The 21,758-nt window shown below is 43.9% G+C and overlaps 1 protein-coding gene across 5 annotated transcripts in view, besides 3 other annotated features; it reads right to left on the reverse strand.

Annotated features, from left to right (window-relative positions):
• The window catches only part of PLEKHM3 (pleckstrin homology domain containing M3), a 204,240-nt gene continuing 182,482 nt past the window's right edge, over positions 1-21,758 (reverse strand). For all 5 annotated transcript variants that reach the window (XM_017004073.2, XM_005246545.4, NM_001080475.3 and 2 more), the window contains one exon: positions 1-7,209. In XM_017004073.2, coding sequence (XP_016859562.1) covers positions 7,032-7,209 — 178 coding nt within the window. In that variant the 3' untranslated portion in view covers positions 1-7,031. The remainder of the gene's footprint in view (positions 7,210-21,758) is intronic.
• Positions 8,561-8,610: an enhancer, noted in NCBI's record as "active region_17046". NCBI's record gives its function as "activates an Ori minimal core promoter by ATAC-STARR-seq in GM12878 lymphoblastoid cells {active_cell/tissue: GM12878}" and the evidence as "EXISTENCE:reporter gene assay evidence [ECO:0000049][PMID:35858748]".
• Positions 9,031-9,080: an enhancer, noted in NCBI's record as "active region_17047". NCBI's record gives its function as "activates an Ori minimal core promoter by ATAC-STARR-seq in GM12878 lymphoblastoid cells {active_cell/tissue: GM12878}" and the evidence as "EXISTENCE:reporter gene assay evidence [ECO:0000049][PMID:35858748]".
• Positions 12,258-12,377: an enhancer, noted in NCBI's record as "active region_17048". NCBI's record gives its function as "activates an Ori minimal core promoter by ATAC-STARR-seq in GM12878 lymphoblastoid cells {active_cell/tissue: GM12878}" and the evidence as "EXISTENCE:reporter gene assay evidence [ECO:0000049][PMID:35858748]".

Raw genomic sequence — 21,758 nt, forward strand, 5'->3', positions numbered from 1 at the left:
TATTTTCTGCATTGTTTATTGAGAGAGAGAGAGAGAGAACTTTATACATTAGGAACTGGTGCACTTAAATTATGTGACAGATGACCTTAAAAACTAGAGGTATTGTCAACAATACAACTTCAATTTTATATTATTACAGTTACTGATATTTTTAAAATAATGTAAACAAAAATATAGATAAGTTATGCCAAAACAAAAGGTAAAATCCAAAAAACAGAAAGAACACATATATAAGTTAGCACATTAGCTACTACAAATAACTTAACACAAAGTGATATAACAGCCCAGACCCAAAATTTTAGTCATTTCTGTACTGTGTGAGCAGATATAAGAAAAAATGGCATAGACCTGACCCAGGAGCTACAGAACAAGTTTTGCAGAAGTTTTTTACATCACCACGTTCAATACTCTCCATTTGCAACCTAAGCATTTTCTCTCCTTTAAAAAAAAAAGTATATATATATATTTTTCAAAGAGATGAGGGTCTCGCTATCTTGCCCAGACTTGTCTTGAACTCCTGGGCTCCAGTGATCCTCCCACCCCAGCCTCCCAAAGAGCTGGGATTACAGGTGTGAGCCGCTGCGGCCAACCACTTTCCCTCCTTTGGCCATTCCTTCTTTTAGCTACTATTCCTAAGAAACAGATTTAAAATATATATCTTCTAGGGTAGGCTAGTAGCTATTCACAGTAAGATTCTACTTCTTTTTTTGTTTGTTTTTTGAGATGGGTCTCACCATATTGCACAGGCTCCTGGGCTCAAGCAATCTACCCACTTCAGCCTCCCAAATAGCTGGGACTGTAGGCACATGCCACCATGCCCAGCGTAACAGTAAGATTCTGATAGGTGACCAAAGCTAGAACCTAGGCCTCCAGCAGCCAAAGCCTAATTTGATGGCTCAGTGGACACACAAAGCTAATTTGATAGCTCACGCCAAACAAAGAGACATTTTTATCACAATTTATCTAAGAGGCTTCCCACTTCTTATTTGGAAAACAGGTGGCAAAATAAAAAGAAAACCTTTGAAAGGTGAAAGATAAGAAAATCCTTGTGTTTGTGTAATTTTGAACCTGAAAAGGCTAAGTTCACTGACTTTACAGATTCAATTATGGATGGCTGGTTTTTATTTCTCTACCCATTGGCCTTGGTGACATCATGACATTCCCCTGAGTTTGGTTAATGAAAGCAAACAAACAAATAAACAAAAAGAGCGATTGAAGAACAGCATAAAACAAAGTGAAAACATTATGTGGTTGCATCTTTTGCATTTCCTGGTAAAAGTGCTAATGGCACTAAGAAGCCAATGTTTGTACCATTCTACTTTAACGACGTGTTTCCGACATGATTCCCTTTACTCCTGAGGTTAAGGCACACCAGGCTGAACAAGGTGAGAGTTCTGACATGCATCATGGAATGCACAGGCTCCAAGAGCATCTATATGAAGAGTAGCCAGCAGGGAAGAAGCAAAGGGATCCAGATTTAGTTGAAGGGTCCTGCAGGCTTCAAGTGGTTCAGACTAGACTAGAAGCACGAGACAGTACTATAAGGCACTCCTACAGGGACAAGAGACACAAGGGAAGGCCAACATGGAGAAGGAGCCACAGGCCCCAGCTGTCCTCTAGCTGGTTTATTAGCCATGAGGCCTGCCTCTGGGCTGGGGCTCAGAACTAGGGGCAAGGAAGATCCAGGGAAAAGAGAGAGGCTGGTTTGCAGCTTCACGGCCAATAGGAGGGAGCCCTCCTAAGAGTTAGGAGTTGCTGTGAGTTGCTGTAGGTGCCTGAATCTTCTACTCTGGGCAACAACCAGCTTCATTCAAAGTCTGGAACTTCATTCAAAGTCTGGAACTTCATTCAAAGTCTTGTCTTTCTAACAAGACGAACAGGCAGTGGCTTCTCTTTTCACAGGGAAAATCCAAAGCAAAACAGCAGTTGTCTCACTTGAGTTTAGCAATGCTTTCCATCACACCAGCGGCCACTTTACGAAGACAGTGCCACAAAACATGATCATTTGGAACTTACTTTTTTTTTTTTTTTTGAGACGGAGTCTTGCTCTGTCGCCCAGGCTGGAGTGCAGTGGCGCAATCTCGGCTCACTGCAACCTCTGCCTCCCAGGTTCAAGCAATTCTCCTGCCTCAGTCTCCCAAGTAGCTGGGATTATAGGCATCCACCAAAACACTCAGCTAATTTTTGTATTTTTAGTAAAGAGGGGGGTTTCACCATGTTGGCCAGGCTGGCCTCAAACTCCTGACCTCAAGTGATTCACCCACCTCGGCCTTCAAAGTGTTGGGATTACAGGCATGAGCCACTACGTTCAGCCTAATTTTTTTATTTTTAGTATAGACCTGATTTCACCATTTTTGGCCCGGCTGGTCTCAAACTCCTGACCTCAAGTGATCTGCCTGCCTTGGCCTCCCAAAGGGCTGGGATTACAGGCGTGAGCCACCAATCCTGGCCAAGTGGAACCCACTTTAAATAAAACTGACAACTACCGGTATGGTTAGGAGGGTATCCCATACTCTTGTCTTTTACCTAGAGTTTAACAATGACTTGGATTTTCCCTCAGCCATGCACCCATTAAAACGCACTAAGGAAAGACCCTTGAGTCAGAGATTTTTGAATCCAATGAAATTAGAATCGTCTACCAATAAGGAGACTACTGGGTGCTAGACTTAACTGTCGAAACACCGTTCCACATGACAGAAATCAACACTTGTCTGTTTACATTAACCGAGCAGAGCTTAGTCACCCATCACTGGATTCGACCTCGAGCAGACAGCTCTACCTGACTCAGGGTCGGAAGAGTGATACAAGGTGTGCAACATATGAAGCTCCTAATGCCCATCACTAACAAGTGACACGGAGGCAGGGGAAACAGAGAGTGCCGCTACCGATTCAGGTCACGCAAAGGAGGGAGGCTCTTTCAAGGTCTTGCTCCAACTTCACGTTTTCACATTATTTCAGAGTAAGAAAAGAAGTGGTGCAGACAACTCAAGAAATAAAATGGGCAAAAATTATACACATCTCTATTTACTAGGAGAAGTAAAAAAATAAAACAACCCCTGTGTTGAAACCAGGCAGTATTGGAATCAGGAGGTGAAGATCTGTTTCATAATCTAGTGATTTCAAGAGAGTGTGTCAGATCAACGGAGATGAATAATTGTGCACAAATACACGAGCAACAGCATTGGCTTGACTCTAAAGGAGGACCAGAATGTGTCTCTACTTCCACTGCTAACGCCCCTCTGCAGAAAATGTTCAGTGTGCGTGGCATCGTGCTAGTCCCACCTGGATATACTAATTTATGGACGGCCTTTTCTAGCCAATGGGTAGAGAACAAACTCCCAGGTTTGGAAGCCAAGCCTCTCTGAGGAGGCACAGAAAAGAACTATCCGATGTCCACGTTCAGTGTGTACACACAACACACAGAGACAAAAACAGAGGCCAGGCTCCGTCAGAGGACACACTCTAGCTGAGCAAAGGCTGCATTCGGCAACTAGGGTGGTGTAAACACCTCGGATCTCACTGCAGCCGGAAGGAAGTCACGGCATAGTCCCTTTTCAGGAGTCTGAGGGATACCACTTGTGTTGCAAACCACAGATCCCAAGTATTAGACGTATTCCCTTCTTGGTGGAGGCCTACTCTAGAAGAATCAAAAACCGATGACCCTCTCAGCGAATCCGATGTTAAAGCTCCTAACTAGGTGACCCTTTAGCACTACAGACGTAAAAATGACTCTAATGCACTCCCTAGAAAAGGCAGTGAAGCAAAGGGGGCTGCTGAGAGTTTACATGGTTTTCATATAAAGAGGCTTTTAACTTTGGAAAAAGCGGGCCTGGAAAGAACACTACCCCCATTCCAGTTGACGGCTTTTTAAGTACTTTGTGGCCTTCCTGCCGCGGTGCAAAATGAGGTCTATTTTAGGAACTGGCTTCTTTACTGCGGGGTTAGATGCCAACATTTCACCAGGGTTGGACGATCTCACACATGAGTTTCTGGCACTTTTAGGAGGGATTTCCTCAAGTGATACACTAGGGAATGAGCCTTTCAGCAAAAAGCGGTTCCCCGGAGTCAGTTGCCAGCTCCAGGAGATTAATTGGCCATTTTTTCATATGTTTTATGTGCAAGATATTTAATATGGGATGAAAAATGGAACACGAGGAAAAGCAGGTATTAGTTTGGTCTGAAAGAGGTGGTAATCCACAGATTTGCTTTTGTTTCGACAGTTTCTAAGCAGTGGAACAATTACCTAACAGTGCACCAAGTAATTTGTTAAAGTTGAAAACAGTAAGGGCGTTCATGTGCGCCAAGGTATTCTGGGCTGAAAACAGCAATTTTGAATTTTCATGGCAGACCCAACTCCTAAGCTGGCTCCACTCTGTCCTATCAGATTTTGGTGGTGGTGGCAGAGAATGTCATAGGCCTGTGGCTGGCACCGACCAAGCTGTCAGGGTGGTACGAAAAGGAGAGGAAACAGGAGTGCTGGACATGGACCCAGCTCTGGGTAGCTGATGGTGATAACACATCGATTTTTTGTTTCCCTTTTGAAAATAAGCAGAAAATGATGTGGGTGGAAAGTCCTCCTTAGGAGTTCACAGGGACTGCTCGTATTTAGCAGGGCCCTCTAAATGGGGACTGGTGAAAACAAAGATGTTTTGAACGGGGATCCAGAATTTCGCCCTTGACTCTCGGCAGGTATGACCCTGGGTGCCTGTGAGCTAGGAGAGGAAATTCTGTATGCAGGGCAAACATGTTACAAGGGGAGGAGATGGCACTGCACTTCAGGTCTCCAAATGCAGTGTGCTAGGAATGGCCTCGCTGACAGTTGGAATCACGGATACATTAATTACAGCGAAGGCAAAAGTAAGCTACAGTGACAGGGAGCTGGGGGCGGAGGGAGAAGGCACTTTGCCATGGGAGCACATCTGTTTTATAATAAGCAGGTCTATAATTCTCTTGTGAAAGATCATGTTCTGCTATCTTCTCTGAGGCTGGAAAATATAAATACTGTATTTTACCAAGAGGAGGAGGAAAGGAGATGATCAAATTTGTTTGCCTGTTGCCAAGTGTTTGAGATTTTCCACCCTTTTTCTTTTGTGTGCAACATTCTCTTTAACTAGAGTGGGGGAAAAGTCAACCTGCTTTTCTAAGGGTAAAAGGCACCGTCAGGCGTCTCATGAATAGGGCCCTGGCCTTTTAACAAGTTTTCAAGCCTTGGTTGCGGCTACTGTATAGTCAGAAAATAAATGCATGTATGGTGTTGAGCTATTAAGGTGAAATGTGTGGCCTGGGGCCAAAGGAACTGGTGTGGGTTGAGAGGTAAAATGCTTACATCTAACTGCACAAAAGTCAGTCTGAAATGTCACATCTCTAGATGGATGGAAGTATCATGAGTTGGGGTCTTGGGGAAGCGGCGTGTGGGGGAAAGGAGCAATGGGGTTGAATGTACCAAGTATGTTGTGAGCCACTGATCCTAATAGCAGCAAAACTACTAAACCATGAAGACATAGAAGGCATCTGCTCAGCGCGAAAGCTACAGAATCTTCTCATAAAGTCTACTGAGAACTGTTCCATTATAAACATATTTTTCTTGCTCTAGGGAGAGTTAAGGGGAAGGAATGGGAGCTGTCAGGGTCCCAGGGCTGTCCTACCTGCCGTTTTGGTCACAGTGACTGCCACGTGCTCTTCCAAGGGCACTGCAGCTGGAGAACACTACCTGCCAAATAGCAAAGCAGATCTCTTTCTTACTCCTATTATTTATTTTAGCACTCTTTGTTTTACTTCAAGGTGGCAATTATATATGTGTGTGTATATATATATATTTATTTAAATAATATTAGATCTAATTCATTAATTATACTTGTAAGTTTGTATTTTCTTAATAGTCCAAAGTTGGTATTTTGAAGTTCCACATTACTCTGATTTTTTAAACAAAAAAATGAGAAAGCAAGAATGGTCACATTGACAAAGGTCGAAATGAAAGTGCAGGAAGAACAACGAGAAATAAAGCACTTAAAATGAATAGGTAGGAACTGCCTCCACAGGATTCTGAGAAAAGAAACTAAAACGACCCTCTTTGGGAATATACTTACTAGATAGCCTTATCTACCAGTCTACACGACGATGTCTTTAACAACCACCCCAGGACATTTCCTCCGGCCAGCATCATGAAAAAAATCATAAATATCAACCATGGGCACCCGTTGAAAACTGTTAAGAAAGCCATGTGTACAGCCTGGAAAACACGGTGGAGCGTCACATCATTAGGTGGGTGATGGGATTAGTACCGAAAAACAGACCGACAACACGCAGTTATTGGTCGCAGAGGTTTCTTCTCTTCTCAGGAAAAAAACTTCTGAGATTAACTTCAAAACCAGAACCAGCCCTCCTCATAAATGAGGGGTGTATGCTTTCTGTCAGAGGGGGCTTGGCTCCTGTTTCCAGCCATCGGCTCTGCTTACGTGATTCCCCGCCTCCACAGGAGGAACTGAGGCGGGAGCGCCACGGACACCAGGTCCTGGAAGGACCCAGCAGTCTCTTGTGTTTTGAAGGTTTTCTTATGAAACAGATGATGATGGGTGCCTGCCTCAGTTACCTCAGCCTCTGTGAAGGCTAAAAATAAATAACACAAAAATAACCTAAAGCACTGTTTTGTGCAGGAAATGCTTCCTTTTGTGTCTTGGGTAATAAAATGTACCGAGAGACAGAGAGAAAAAAAAAGTCTGAACTATAAAGCATTGTGTATACCACGTTTTGTCTGGGAGCAAGCAGCTGAAATTCTTGGCTAAGTGTAATCCAGCTATTGGTAGTTTCTCGAGCCACAGAGGTTCTGTGGATCGTCTGGACAATGATGTACACAGAGCATACGTACAGGACGTATAGGTATTTGCGTATATATAAATAAATATATATATCTATATCTAGTTGAAGAGGATACATACTCTTCTTCCAAAGGGGTCTAACTGGCTAGTTAGGAGGCCGCTCTGGGGCTGATGGATTGTTGATTGGTGAATCCCTGGCCTTCGGGTCGGCTGGAGTCAGGTGTTCTGGTAGGACAGCTCGAACATGGTGCAAGCCTCCTCTAGACTCTCGTCCATGTTCAGTCTCTGCCAGAAAGACTTCTGCTTCTTCTGCAGCTCTCGGCGAACACACCTCGGGCAGGGGACAGACTTTTCTTTGCATTCAGAATGGAAAACGGCTCCACAGCTTTCACACCTGCAAAAGTCAACCATGGATATGATGAGCAAGACTGAAGCCAGCAAGACACAAATGGGAAGCCCTGTGGCCTCAGGTGCAGCTGGTGGCACAATCTACTGTTCTGGACAACCCTGCCAATGGGAAGGGAGATGACTCACTGAAATGAACTGTTTGTTTTTCCAAAATGCTCAAGGTTGAATTTCACTTGAAAAACATTTTTGCTTTTCTGATCTGAACTAGGGCTTATGAGTGGGGGGGAGTCCGCAGTCACCCAGCAATTCTGGTTATAGTGACAATGGACAGAACACCAGAAGCTCTCCATTGAGAAGGGAATTGGCAGTGACTCTAGAGTGAAATGACAGAAAATGAGAGGGGAGTGCCTCGTGAAAACGCTCGGCACACCAGTGACAGCCACAGCGTTACATCCATGGCGAGGCAGCTTTCTACATCAGTTAACACGAGCTAAGTGGTTCTCTGTTAACTAGCTGCCTTTATTTGACAGTTTGAAAAGATAAAATGACACATTTTCATTTTCTGAATGACATCCTGTGGTCTATGAAATCTTGTGAGTTTTTTAAAAATTAGGAAAAAACTCCTACCTTTGTAAGTCTACCTTTATAACATGAGCGTGAACATTAAAGCAGGAGACAGTGGGGAAGAAAACATTTTTCAAACAATATGACAGATATTGTAATATGTAGAGAGCAAACATTCCAGGTGGATGACTCATTTGTTGTTTGGCTTGGTGGAAGCCTGCACGGGAGTCTAAATAACTTGTTTTTACAGCGAAGTTTTTATTTATTTATTTTTTTGGAGATAGGGTCTCACTCTGTCACCCAGGCTGAAGTGCAGTGGTGTGACCTCGGCTCACTGCACCCTCTGCCTCCTCCTGGGCTCAAGTGATCCTCCCACCTCAGCCTCCCGAGTAGTTGGGACTACAGGCACCCACCACCACACCTGGCTAATTTTTGTATTTTTAGTAGAGACGGGGTTTTGCCATGTTGGCCAGGCAGGTCTGGAACTCTTGACCTCAGGTGATCCACCCGCCTCGGCTTCCCAAAGTGCTAGGATTACAGGTGTGAGCCACTGCATTTGGTCTGCAAAGCTTTTAATAATGAGTAACTGACAAGCTCAAATACAGCTGCTCCAGTGAGTGGTTTGCCGATATGGACTGAGTTTTCATCCTTCCACGAGGGTAACAGGCAACTTTTACCAAGTCCTAGGAGCCCAGGGAATTGCACCTGTGTAATTTTGTTCAGCCTGCAGCATTCAGGGAGGGTCCAGAACTGACTGGGTTCGAAGAGGGTTGCGAAGGAACCAGTCCCGAGGGCTCAGCCTCAGGCTTCTTTTGCTTTTTCACAGCGTCTTGAGTTTCAGTGCCAGGTGCAGGATGGTCTTGGGGGCATTATCTCCTAGTCTGCCACTGACTTACCCCACCACCATTCAGGACCCAGAGGGCTTAGTGAAAGGAAGATCTTCCTACCCACCCTCATACCTTGGAGAGGAGGCAGTGACTTGGATGGAGACACACTGTTGCGGGGTGGGGGGTTGGAAGGGGGAGAAAGAGAAAGTGTGTGTGTATGTGGGTGTGTGCGTGCACACCTATTCCAGCAGAGGCACAGGAAGACAAGACTTCCTGCACCCAGCAGCTCTACCCCCAGCTTGGCTCTCTGGGTCAAGTGAAACATACAGGTGGTGAGGCCAGCCAGCAAGGAGCTTCACATCAATTCCTGGCTGTGTGACTGCTATGAACTGAACTGTGTCCCCGTTAGTCATATGTTAAACCCCTTACCCACAATGTGACTATATTTGGAGATACCATGCTTAGGAGGTAATCAAGATTAAATGAGGTAGGCCGGGCATGGTGGCTCATGCCTGTAATCTCAGCACTTTGGGAGGCCGAGGTGAGCGGATCACCCGAGGTCAGGAGATCAAGACCAGCCTGGCCAACATGGTGAAACCCCGACTCTACTGAAAATACAAAATTAGCCGGGCGTGGTGACGCATGCCTGTAATCCCAGCTACTCGGGAGGCTGAGGCAGGAGAATTGCTTGAACCCGGGAGGTGGAGGTTTGCAGTGATCACACCACTGCACTCTAGCCTGGGTGACAAGAGCAAAACTCTGTCTCAAAAAAAAAAAAAAAGATTAAATGAGGTCATGAGGGTGAGACCCTGATCCAAGCTCATAAGTGTCCTTAGAAGAAGGACACTTCTTCTAAGTGTCCTTAGAAGTGTCCTTAGAAGTGTCCTAAGTTGGGGAGCTTGCTCTCCCCAACTCCGCATGCCTCAGAGGCAGCGCCCTGTGGGGACATACACACTCCTGCAAGCCAGGAGGAGAGGCCTCTCCAGAAACCAACCCTGTTGGGACCTTGATCTGAAATTTCCAGCCTCCAGAACTGGGGGCAACACATTTCTGTTGTCTAAGCCACCCAGTCTGTGGTCTTCCGTGTGACAGTCTGAGCAGACTAATGACCTTACGCAAGTCACGTCGCCTTTCTGAGCTTCCTGCACTTCAGTGTCCTTATCAGCTAAATGGAGACTACATAGCACCCACCTCCTGGGGTGCTGCGGGGCTCAGGTAACATCATGGATGCAGTGTATTCCCAGTTCCTGGCCGTGGTGGGAAGTGCTTAGTGAACAGCAAGGACTGCTCCGGCCAGGGTGCCCCCCAGGCTGCCTGCTGCCTTCTGTGCAGCTGCATTGCAGCCTGACTTCACCCATGTCACTATGGAGACCTGAGGACATCTCAGTCAACCCCCTCCTTGCCTAGATGAGAAAAGAGACTCCAAGAGGGCTAGGGATTGCCTACCGGGGACGCAGTGAGTTGGAGACAGAGTTGTGACTGGAACCCAGGGCTCCTGGCAGCCCAGCCAAGGCTCTTACCGAGCACCACGCTGCCGGCTGAGGCCTGGCCATCCCAGCGAGAGCATGGAGCCATCGCATAGGGAAACGTAGGGCTTCCAATCAGAACACCTGTGTCAAACCACAAATCCTTTGTAGCTGAGTGACAGTGGGCAAGTTACTACTTAAGTTCTTGGTGCTTTGGTTTTCTCATTTGTAAAATGCTGCTCACGGTGAACCCCTTCCTATTCACTGGGTTGCTGTGAGACTAAAATGAGAAATATACTTTTAAGTGGAAGGACTACGCAAAGGCTGCGACGCCGCCCCTCACAGGTGACTCTAGTACCCGTCTCCTTGACACAGGCGCTATCCTGGACATGGCAGGGTCACCTCTAGCATCTTCCTCTTCCCAGCCCCCTCCTCCTTCCAGTGAGGATAAAGGTCAGACCCATGTCTTCTAGAGCCTCTCTCATCTGGGCCAGCTCCTTCCTAGTGGCAATGGCTTTGTCCCCACTGGTCACACCTCTGTAACCTTCTATCACTAAAGTGACACTAATGATAGCTTTATCATATAAATTTCCTCCTTCCAGCCCCCTTTCCCCTGCTGGGTTAGTCAGTGATTTATACACCTAGGGATGTTGCCCCAGGGCAGTGATTGATAAGGAGGAAAAACCCTGGGTTCCTTCAGTACCACTCCCTTATCTCTGCTGATACCAGGCTGCAGTGAGTGAAGAGATTGGGTCTTATCGGATATTTCTGGTGCAGCAAACACCCATGGGGTGATGGAAGAGCTGAGCGCACCTGCTCTTTCTAACCAAAGGTCAGTAACTGAACAAAAAGCATGAGATAAAAAAAAATTAATGATTTCAAAATAGAACTAAGTCCTATTTTCTAACAATTTGTAACCCAGCAGGTATCTTTTAAACTGTAGTATGGATAGATTGATCAATGACTTTCCAAATTCCAAGAATCTATAGTTAATCCCTCCCCCAACCCTTTTCTCTTTAAAGGAAAAGAATAAGGGGAGGAAAAGGAAGGAGAAAGGGAAATTGTTCTCTTACATAAGATTTATGGAGCCCTGTAATAAAAATGTAAAGTTCAGGATAAATATTTACATTAAAAAATGTAATATATGGGTGTGTTCCTCTTTGAGAATAGGATTTTATTTTTTCACTTTAAAAAAATTCATTGGCCGGGTGCAGTGGCTCATGCCTGTAATCCCAGCACTTTGGGAGGCTGAGGCAGGTGGATCACCTGAGGTCAGGAGTTCGAGACCATCCTGGTCAAAATGGTGAAACCCCGTCTCTACTAAAAATACAAAAATTAGCTGGGTGTGGTGGTGTGTGCCTGTAATCCCAGCTACTCGGGAGGCTAGGCAGGAGAATCGCTTGAACCCGGGAGTCAGAGTTTGCAGAGAGCCGAGAAATTGCACCACTGCACTCCAGCCTGGCAACAGAGCGAGACTCCCTCCCCCTGCACCTCCCCCACACCAGAAAAAAAAGATTCATTGGGCTGGGTGCGGTGGCTCATGCCTGTAATCCCAGCACTTTGGGAGGCTGAGGTGGGTGGATCACCTGAGGTCAGGAGATCAAGACCAGCCTGGCCAACATGGTGAAACCCTGTCTCTACTAAAAACACAAAAATTAGCCAGGCGTGGTGGCGTGTGCCTGTAATCCCAGCTACCTGTGAGGCTAAGGCACGAGAATCGCTGAAACCCAGGAGACAGAGGCTGCAGTCAGCTGATATTGTACCATTGCACTCCAGCCTGGGTGACAGAGCAAGACACCATCTCAAAAAAAAAAAAAAAAAAAAAAGATTCATTGGCCCCCCTGAGTACTCACTGAGTTTCTTGACTGTATTTAAAATATGATTTAGCACATACAACTTTTCAGGAACACATCTTTCTTATAAGGCAAATCTACCAATGTAATCATCTCTGCTGAAAATTGCAACAGGTAATGAAAGAGAAATGTCCCTTTGGTGTTCCTGTGTGATACATGAAATGAAAGCTGGTGTCTTCATTCTGAGTCATCCAGTCCAGTGATAAGCAGTTTCACTGCTTGTTGGATGTTGCTGTACATCACAGAAAACAAAGACTAACGTCCTCCCTTTGCAGTGTCTGCAACTGCAGGGAGACATTTGCTACTGACCAAAGTCATCCAATGGGTTTTTCTGTTTTTTTTTTTCTTGAAAACATTCATTGCTTCATGTTTTCTCATACCTAGGGATCTCAACCTTGGCCCTACTGACATTTTGAGTTATAATCCTTTGATGTGAGGGGGTGTCCTGTGCATCATAGGATGTGTAGCAGCATCCCTGGCCTCTCTCGGCTAGATGCCAATAGCCATGTCACCCCCTCCTCCCAGTTGTGACAACCAGCAATATCTCCAAACACTGCCAAATGCCTCTGCGGGCAAAACCATCCCTGTTGAGAACCACTGACCTAATCTAGTGGAAAATGCATCACAGAGGGAGTACCCAGGGATACTTACACAGGACTCCCACACTGAATTTGCAAGTGTCACCTGCTGGCTTACGTTCTTACCAACCAATAAGGTCCAGTGTAGTGTACTTATTCATTTAACTTTCACAAGTACGTATTTTAAACACATCATTTGATTAAAATAGTTGAAACCACTAATATTAATATTAACCAGTGATTTCTGTTACTTCTAATGGCAAAAATCGCACTTGCTTTTGCACCAACCTAAATGGAAATCATTTAGAATATCATTTAAGAAGTCAATATCAGTGACGCAATGCTGTGCATCACTGTCACTCCCTATCAACTCACTCTGATTTTTCTCTTTCTTTTTTTTTTTTTTTGAGACAGAGTTTTTGCTCTTGTTGGCCAGGCTGGAGTGCAATGGCACGATCTCAGCTCACCACAATCTCCACCTCCCAGGTTCAAGTGATTCTCCTGCCTCAGCCTTCCCAAGTAGCTGGGATTACAGGCATGCACCACTAAGCCTGGCTAATTTTGTATTTTTAGTAGAGATAGGGTTTCTCCATGTGGGTCAGGTTGGTCTCAAACTCCCGACCTCAGGTGATCCGCCCACCTCGGCCTCCCAAAGTGCTGGGATTGCAGGAGTGAGCCACCGCGCCCAGCCTCTTCTTTTTTTTTTTTTTGAGATGGAGTTTTGCTCTTGAGGCTGGAGTACAATGGCGCAATCTCGGCTCACCGCAACCTCCACCTCCTGGGTTCAAGCAATTCTCCTGCCTCAGCCTCCCAACTAGCTGGGATTACAGGCATGTGCCACCACGCCTGGCTAATTTTGTATTTTTAGTAGAGATGAGGTTTCTCCATGTTGGCCAGGCTGGTCTTGAACTCCTGACCTCAGGTGATCCACCTGCCTCGGCCTCCCAAAGTGCTGGGATTACAGGCGTGAGCCACCGTGCCCGGCCTGACTTTTCAATTCTACCTAAAAGCCGTCTTGGTGGTGCGTCTTAGTCCCATTTATTTGCTCTTTGGCCAAGAACCTCTGGGCTGTTTCTCTGTGGTATTTTCTGCTTCTTTATGTCCTACCTGGGCCATCTAACAAAGCAAAGCTAAAAGTTTTACATCTACTTCATAAAATAAATTGCTTTTATGCAACTGTGAAGCAGTTAGGTTTCAACAACTTGTTTTTTTTTTTTTTGAGACGGAGTTTCACTCTTGTTGCCCAGGCTGGAGTGCAGTGGCATGATCCCAGCTCACTGCAACCTCTGCCTTCCGGTTTCGAGTGATTCTCTTGCCTCAGCCTCCGAAGTAGCTGGGATTACAGGCACCCGTCACCATGCCCAGCTAATTTTTTTTTGTATTTTTAGTAGAGACGGGGTTTCACCACGTTGGCCAGGCTAGTCTCGAACTCCTGACCTTGTGATCCGCCCGCCTTGGCCTCCCAAAGTGCTGGGATTACAGGTGTGAGCCACCGTACCCTGCCGGTTTCAACAACTTCTGCAATAAAAAGGAGACCAATACTACTTCAATGGGGTACTTACTACAGAGAGTAGACCTCAGCTTGAGTGAGGAGCCCCGAGTCCTTGGCGCAGGTTGGCCTTGGTGTCACAGGGGTCTTGGGTAAGTTACTTTATCTCTAAATCTCACTCTCCACAGAAGTAAAAGAGAAGCTTGGGTTAATCTAAAGTTTCTTCCAACTTGCAGATTTTGTGCAGGATTTGGGGGCCGGGGGAGCTACTCTGGGTTGTACTCTCCTCTCTCCAAATTGTCTTGCTCCAAGGTCTGTGAGTTAATGAGTAGGAACGTAGTTTTGGTACCTCCCCAGAGAGTCTCAAACTCATAAGCTGGGACTGCATGAGATGAACCTTAAGATGTAAAGCATTACTTTTTATTTCATTTATTTGCATTGATTAATCAAGCTATGAAATAGCTTATATGAACTAGTATATATAGCTCTGACTCAGGAATTTGGCCAAAAGGAGCTGAGTTTGCCCCTATTTAATAAAATTTCAATTAAAAATTAAGGGTTCCTTTTTTAGCCTTCTCCCAATCCTTATCAGTGCCTCTTCTTCCCAAGGGAAAAAAACATAATTGTTAAATGTTGTCAAGTTTTTTGGGGGGATGGGGATGAGGAGGGCCAGCTAGAGATGACAGCCATTTACCAGCCTATGTGGAAATATGTTTGTGTTTTAACTGTTGGGACAGCTGCACCAGAGTTAACTGGGTGCATGTCAACACTGGATACACCACAAGACATGGGACCAGGAAGGGAGGACCAGAGTTCAACTTCTGTGGATGCTCTTGTGAGCACTCCTAATTATCTGTGTGTGCCCTGACGAACTGGTCCCCTTCTTTGGGATAGGAGCAGGGGAACATCTCCCCCATTTTGGGGCAGCATAAATCTCACTTTGAATTTCAATAAATGCATCATATGCATGCCTGTAATCCCAGCTACTTAGAAGGCTGAGGCAGGAGAATCACTTGAACCCAGGAGGCAGAGGTTGCAGTGAGCCGAGATCATGCCACTGCACTCCAGCCTGGGCGACAGAGAGAGAGTCTAAAAAAAAAAAAAAAAAAGCACCATGGAATGAGACTATATATTTTATGAACAGTCTTTGACCCAAACATTAGCTTATTGACCCATAGCAAGTGAGGAAGAAGTTCATACCCTAGAAATCTAATAGTCCATCACCAAGAGATAGGCCAGACACGATGCTCTTATTGTAGTTATTGAAACTAGGAAAATGAACCTGCTGCAAACTAGCAGAACTAAGTATGTGCAGGGGGAAAAGGTTTGCTTCTCAAATATTATGGCAAAGAGGCAAGAATTCCTGGCTGCAGAGTTTCCTGTTCTGGAATGCTGATGATGTGAGACCAATTAGAGACAGGCCCAATGGCTTTGTCTGCACCCTTCCAGATTCTAGCTGCACACAGGGAGGTCACAGGAAACTGCTAAAGGCCGCTGCCCCGAGTTGAGGTCACTGAAATGCTTCTGCTGTGTTCATGTTGGGTTCTTCTCCTGCTGCATTTTTATTTTTGGCTCAGGCAATGGCCTCAGATATTTCACTTGGATTGAAATTCAGGCTTCAGTTTGGTTGCATCTCTGACAAGCAAAAGGACAGGCCTGCAGAGCAGGGCAGAGCCTTGGCTGGTTTCCACTCTGCAGAGCCCACAACGAATGGGGTGGGGCTCAGAAATAAGTGCACGTTATCAGGCATGTGAGTGCGGCTTTGCGTATGGCTACTATGCAACGCCCCCCATACAGCCACTAGCTATTACTGGTTTTTCCAAAAAACCAAGATTACTTAAATCTCTTAGCTAAGGAGGGTAGTTACTGGATCCTGGTTATTTAAATGTTTTGGGTTGGTGTTTTATTTGTTATTGTGTAAGTAAACATAAGCAAACAATTTGTAATTTGCTTGAATAGGAAATCAGCCAATATCATGTATAGTTTATGCTTCCATGTGAGCCTATATGCTATGCATGTACTTATAGACATACACAGGATACTAGACATTCTAAGGTAAAATGAATTAAATATGATTAATAGGATTAATTTAGCTGTGCCCAGCTAAATTAAGCCATAATTCCAGCACTTTGGGAGGCTGAAGCAGGCAGATTGCCTAAGGTCAGGAGTTTGAGACCAGCCTGGCCAACACGGTGAAACCCCGTGTCTACTAAAAATACAAAAATTAGCTGGCATGGTGGCTAATGCCTGTAGTCCCGGCTACTTGGGAGCCTGAGGCAGGAGAATTGCTTGAACCTGGGAGGCAGAGGTGGCAGTGAGCTGAGATCGCACCACTGCACTCCAGCCTGGGCGACAGAGCGACACTTCATCTCAATAAAATAAAATAAAATTACAATAGTTCTCCCTTTTTTTTTTTTTTTTTTTGAGATGGAGTCAGGCTGGTCTTGTTCTCCTGACCTCGTGATCTGCCCACCTCGGCCTCCCAAAGTGCTGGGATTACAGCTGTGAGCCACGGCGCCTGGCCGGTTCTTCCATTTTTTTTTTTTTTTTTTTTTTTTTTTGAGATTAAGTCTTGCTCTGTTGCCCAGGCTGGAGGGCAGTGGTGCGATCTCAGCTCACTGCAACCTCCATATCCCGGGTTCAAGCGATTCTCCTGCCTCAGCCTCCCGAGTAGCTGGGATTACAGGCACCCACCACCACGCCCGGCTAATTTTTTGTATTTTTAGTAGAGATGGGGTTTCTCCATGTTGGTCAGACTGGTCTCAACCTCCCAACATCAGGTGATCCGCCCGCCTCGGCCTCCCAAAGTGCTGGGATTACAGGCGTGAGCCACCGCGCCCGGCCTCGAGTTCTCCCATTTTTATTAAGTCAGTCAGTAAGAAAATAATAGATATAATATAATATAATAACTGGAGGTTTATCTGGTTCCAGAGCTAGTAAGCCTATTTGATTCCAGGGTTCTCATGTGAATGTGGCCCCTTTTCTATTACTAGCAACTTGGTCCTTTAAGTTAACACATGCCCAGATACCTGCTAAGACCCAAATCTGGGAAGAACAATTGGTATGTCCTGCAATGCTCTTTTTATCTACACTTTAAGCCCCAGAGTTAATTAAGGAGAGGTTTTCCCTGATGGCAGCCCACAAAGCATTTGCACTTTTAGTTTGTAAACCAAGTTCAGCTAAATACCTTTGACAAAAGCTTTACTTAAATCTTGGCTTTAAAATAGAATGTAAATAAGGGTTAATTAATTCATTTGTTAATTTTGCTACCCTACTGGGGACATTAACTCACTGCCATCTTTTGTGCAAACACTTAATCAGTGCTTCTTGCTAACTTGTGGATGGTGACTGAACTTCTCAGTTATATTCTAAGTATGTGTATAAAATTATAATAGATTTGACCTTGATGAAACAGTTTTCTTGGGATAGGGAAAATGGATATTTCTGATGCTTCTAAGTTTTTATTTTAAGGTTCATCTGGTAATTAATATAATTCTCGAGAAACAAATACCCACCTTGGTATTTAGGAAAAATCTGTTTAATATTAGACAAAGTAAAGGAACTGACGGAGGATTTAAACATTTCTACCATTTCTGGGAAAAAGCTACACTGTATTATAATTGTAGCCATAGAGAACTATAAACAAGATAAATGGTTTTCTGTAGAAATTCCTAAAGTAGTTTAAAATGCCTAAGAGCCAAAGGGGTGTTTAGAATTATCTTGCTACATCTAAGATGAAGGGAGTGAATACGAGATTATTAGGCGAATGCAGATTCAAACAAATGATCTTGGTTTATATATGAACTTCTCATGATTTACCAGTCTACCTTCTTAATGTAAAATTGAAACATTTACCTGCCAAGTTTTTGAAGTAAGCCTTTTAAAAAGAAATAATAATGTAACAGGAAGATACGCACCTAAGACTCTGAATGGGACTCACTTGTATTTAACACATGACATTTCAGTTCCTCAAAGGACTAAGACACTAAGTACAACCAAAATGAAAAAAAGGTCAAGCATGGGTACATTAGAAAATGCACATTAATGTACATGAATCTAATGTACATTAGAAAATGCACATTAATGTACATTAACCTAATGTACATTAGAAAATGCAAAAAGTCTAGAAGATAAGCCCTATCTAACTTTATGAGCAGTGTGATTAGTTGCTTATGAATAAGTTACTGGTTATTGATGTAAATTTAGGAGAAAGGCATTTAAATAAAAGACCTAAAGTGTTTTGCCATTACTTTAGATTATTCTCCTATTTGTCTCTCTAAGACAATGCTCTTCAAAGATGGTAACCATAATTTTCCAATACTCAATTTATTCTAGGCTGGTGGTGCTCAAAGTGTGGTCCCTGGACCAAATGTGATGCAGCCAAGCCAGCATCACTAGAGAATTTGTTAGAAAGGCTAATTAGTGGCCAGCACAGTGCCTCACACCTGTAATTCCAGCACTTTTGAGAGGCTGAGGCAGGATGATCCTGCCCAGGAGTTCAGGACCTGGGCAACATAGGGAGATCCCATCTCTACAAAAACAGAAAAAAATTAGCTGGGTATGGTAGTACACACCTACGGTCCCAGCTACTGGGGAGGCTGAAGTAGGAAGATTGCTTGAGACTGGGAGGTCAAGGCTGCCGTGAGCCGTGATGGTGCCACTACATTTCAGCCTGGGCAACAGAGTGAGACCCTGTCTCTAAATAAATAAATAAATAAAATAAAGGCTAATTATTGGGTCTCCCTCTAGACTTAGTGAATCATAAACTCTGGGCTGGGGCCCAGCAATCTGTGTTTTAACAAGTCCTCCTGGGAATTCTGATGAACACAGAAGTTTGAGAACTATACTTCTAAGTCAATCATTGCTAAAGACAGCAGGGCTCTTATTTTTCATATAATATATTTAAAACAAAAATATGGACTTTGCAAAACGAAAATAGGAGGTGATATTAACTAATGTGGGTTTTGTTTTTTGTTTTAGAGACAGGGTCTTGCTGTTGCCCAGGCTGGAGTGCAAGTGTGATCATAGTTCACTGCAGCCTCAAACTGCTGGACTCAAGGGATCCTCCCACCTCAGCCTCCCAAGTATTAACAGCTAGGACTACAAGTGTGTGCCACCATGACTGGCTAATTAAAAAAACCATTGTTTTTGCAGAGACAAGTTTCTGCTATGTTGCCCAGGCTGGTCTCAAACTCCTGGCCTCAATGGATCTCCTGCCTTGGCCTCCCCATGTGTTGTGATAACAGGTGTGAGCCACCATGCCCAGCCAACTAGTGTTTTTATATAGGGCTTTTCACATCTATTAATATCTTCTCATAACTAATAGGTTAAAATCTAATTTTGCTTTAATTGTAATATGGAGTTGTTCATGTAGTTTTTGGCCATTTGCATATTCTTTCAGTAAATTGGTTCATGTCCTCTGCCCATTTTCTACTGATATTTTACTAATTTTTAAATATATCTTTCATATTAAGGAAATCAATACTTCGTCATGTGTTGAAATTATTTCTCCAAGTTTCCTGTTTATGTTTATCTTTACCTATAGAATTTTAAGCATTTAACACTTTTTATGTTTTTTTTTTTTTTTTTTTTTTTGAGACAGAGTCTCTGTCACCCAGGCTGGAGTGCAGTAGTGTGATCTCGGCTCACTGCCACCTCCGCCTCCTGGGTTCAAGTGATTCTCATGCCTTAGCCTCTCAGGTGGCTGGGATTACACGTGTGTGCCACCATGCTTGGCTAATTTTTATATTTTTAATTTTTAATTTTTATATTTTAAAGACAGGGTTTCACCATGTTGGCCAGGCAGGTCTCAAACTCCTGACCTCAAGTGATCCACCTGCTTTGGCTTCCCAAAGTGCTGGGATTACAGACGCCCGGACAACTCTTTACGTATTTAAAAGCATTTTGCTTCCATGGCTTAGAAAGTCCTTTCACACTTTAATATGATAAAAATAATAGACTGGGCGCGGTGGCTCACGCCTGTAATCCCAGCCCTTTGGGAGGCCGAGGTGGGCAGATCACGAGGTCAGGGGTTCAAGACCAGCCTGACCAACATGGTGAAACCCCATCTCTACTAAAAATACAAAAATCAGCCGGGCTTGGTGATGTTCACTTGTGATCCCAGCTATTTGGGAGGCTGAGGCGCGATAATCGCTTCAACCTGGGAGGCCGAGATCACGCCATTGCACTCCAGCCCGGGTGACACAGCGAGACTCCATCTCAAAAAAAAAAAAAAAAAAAAAAAAAAAAAAAAATATATATATATATATATATATATATATTCACCACCATTTCTTTCTAGTACATTTCTAGTACTCTGTGGGCTTTATTTATTTTACATTAAAATATTTGATCCACTTAGAATTTATCTTGATGTAAGGTGTATGGGCAGCATTATTTTTCTTTTTCCAAATGGCTAATTAGTTCCCAATTCCTAATATGGAATAATACTTTTTTTGTTCCACCAATTTGCTATGCCACCTTTACCATGTATTAAATTCCCATATTACTTGGGTCTATTTCCATACTTTCTGAATCTTTTTGACTCTTGTTCTAGTGATCTTTGTATCCTTATTCCCATTATATTGTTTTACAATACATTTTTATATCTGATAGAAACAGTCTCCCTTCATGTACATAAAACTTTGAGAAGTTAAATTCTATATAATTCTATATTAAATATACTAGGGAAGTTTACTGCCCCGATCTTTATTTTTATTTTTATTTTTGAGACGGAGTCTCTCTCTGTCACCCAGGCTGGAGTCCAGTGGTGTGATCACAGCTCACTGCAAGCTCCGCCTCCCGGGTTCAGGCCATTTTCCTGCCTCAGCCTCCCCAGTAGCTGGGACTATAGGCGCACGCCACCACGCCCAGCTAATTTTTTGTATTTTTAGTAGAGACGGGGTTTCACCGTGTTAGCCAGGATGGCCTCGATCTGACCTCGTGATCCGCCTGCCTCTGCCTCCCAAAGTGCTGGGATTACAGGCATGAGCCACCGCGCCTGGCCCCCATCTTTTTATTATAGTTTTATTTATAAGGTTTATTTAAAATGAGATGCACCTGTATAATAAACACCTCAGGTAGTTAAGAACTAATCCTGGCTTTAGATATTGGACGTTCTGAACATCTCAGATGCTTTTCATTTTTATATAAGGATAAAGGCATTGTACAAGTTTGGTGGGTTAAACTAATTAGACTGATTGTTTACATGTTTATAAAATTAGCAAACATGGTTCAATTGTTTAATAATGTATAAACTTTTAATAATTAAAATTACTCTACTTTGCATGAACCAAAGATGTATTACCTTGGAAAAATACTGCAATAATGCTTTCAGCCTGATATATATTAACATTGAAGGAGGGAAGAAGGAGGGAAGGCCTGAACAGCAAAGCATGTTTTAGCAGTCCCTTTCATTCAGTGAGAACATTCGTTGGAACTTCTGTTTCCATTCTGCGTATTGGTAAATGTTGGATGGAACCGATAGTCACAATAATAAGAATAGTTCTGCTGCGTACACAAGCCATAAGCTGATATGTAAGAAGTCACTGAAAACCTTATTTTTTTCAACACCACACATACTCATAAGACAGAAATATGATAGAGAAGGCTAAATAGTAGTATTTCAGCAAAGGAATCTCTCAAAGGGAGCAACAGTCACATTGGGAGCCAATGTGAGCTTCTTAGGCGGAAGCATCGAGCTGTGCTAAGTAAGAACTAAGCTTTTTCTGTTTTATTGAGACAGGGTCTCATTCCATCACCCAGGCTGGAGTGCAGTGGTGTGATCACGGCTCACTGCAACCTCCGCCTCCTAGGCTC

The sequence above is a fragment of the Homo sapiens genome, chromosome 2 (genome assembly GCF_000001405.40).
Source record: "Homo sapiens chromosome 2, GRCh38.p14 Primary Assembly".
Lineage (NCBI taxonomy): Eukaryota > Metazoa > Chordata > Mammalia > Primates > Hominidae > Homo > Homo sapiens.